The following is a 1,609-nucleotide window of genomic DNA, read 5'->3' on the forward strand; positions in this document are numbered from 1 at the left end:
ATGAATATTTTCATGTCATTTAATACTCATCTCTAATGTAATCTATAAACATCTTCACTCTAAACCCTTCTCATCTCCATTACACTATCACTCGAGATGAAATTATTACTATTTTTTGCCTCAGCTGCTTGCCTTTAGTAGGTGGAAGCCTTTACTCTTCCCCATACAGAGCCAGGTGGATTCCTATAAAACATCAATACAGTCACATTACTCCTCTACTCTCAAAAAACCTAAATTTTGTTCACCACCGACAAGGCTTTGCAAGATCTGGCACCTAGCCTCCTTTCAGCTCTCATTTCCTATCACTTTCACCCTTTCTCACTGGCTACCTAGTTTGCTATCGGGGCGTTTCTCTTGCTCAGCTCTGCCTGGAAAACTTCTCCCACATATTCACAAATGGCTCACTCCCTCACTTCATTCAGTTCTCTGCTCAAAGGTCACTTCTTCAGAGAGGACTTCCTTATTCTAAAAAAAAAAAAAAAAAGCTTCCTTTATTGCTCACTTAGGCTTTTTTAATACAATCATGTCATTATTTGACATTGCACTATATTTGACAGGATATATTTATCTGTTCTTTGTCTCCCTAAACTAGAATGTCAGTTCTAACAATGCAAGCACCTTGTCTGGCTTATTTATCATTCTATCCTTATTGCTTAAAATAGTATCTGACACGAGATAGGTGCTTAATAAATATATTTTTGTTAAACAACTGTATGGATATACACTTTAAATAATAAATTATTAATCAATAATAATTATTTGATATTTGCATTCCTGCTTATTTTTTTCCTATTATGAGCAAGCATGCCATAAACATATGTATGTTATCCATGCCAGAAACATGTAAAAAACCCCTATATTTGTTTTCTAAGATTTTGGAGTCAAAAAATATGGTTATTTTTACAGTTTTTGATACATAGTGCCAAACTGCTCTCCATCAGAAAGTTATGTTTTATATCACTTCAGAAATTAATGAAAGCTACTTTCTTCTCACCTGGAAAGACAATGTGCATTTTCCCTTTTAAACACCTTAATACGTGAAAGATAATTAAGATTTACCTTTTTTCAATTAGTAAAGGACTTTTTATATGATATTATCTATTTACACTTCCTTTTTTTGTATGAATTGCCTCTACATGTCCTTTGCTCATATTTCTGATTTGCCTTTATTCATTGGTATGAACTCTTTGTACATTAAAGCTACTGTTCCATTGTTTAAACCATGTTAAAATGTCATTTTTCTGTTTGTGATTTGCCTTTCAATTGTGATTACTATATATTTTAAAATTTACTATATGGACATTTAAATTTTATACAGTCAAGAGACTCAACACCTTTGCCCAAGCTGCATCGCAATCAAATTTAAGAATGTCAATTCGTTATTTAAAAATGTTAATTATACATTTTAATGTACGCTATCAAAATATCTCATGTAACCCATAAATATATACACCTACTATACACCCATAAAAAATAAAAAGTGATAAAACCACAGAAAAAAATGTCAGTTCAATCAAAACAAAGTTGATTATCACTCTCAATCAAGGTTCGCATCTGGAAGATCGAGAACTGCACGTCAGAGTTCTCTTGGAAAAGCTCTAGGAATCCT

General features: G+C 32.4%; 1 protein-coding gene across 18 annotated transcripts in view; it reads right to left on the reverse strand.

The window, feature by feature from the left end:
• Nucleotides 1-1,609, reverse strand: part of TMEM232 (transmembrane protein 232) — a 351,524-nt gene that overhangs the window by 349,105 nt on the left and 810 nt on the right. The gene's annotated exons all lie outside the window — the stretch shown is intronic.

The sequence above is a fragment of the Homo sapiens genome, chromosome 5, assembly GCF_000001405.40.
Source record: "Homo sapiens chromosome 5, GRCh38.p14 Primary Assembly".
NCBI classification, from domain to species: Eukaryota; Metazoa; Chordata; class Mammalia; order Primates; family Hominidae; genus Homo; species Homo sapiens.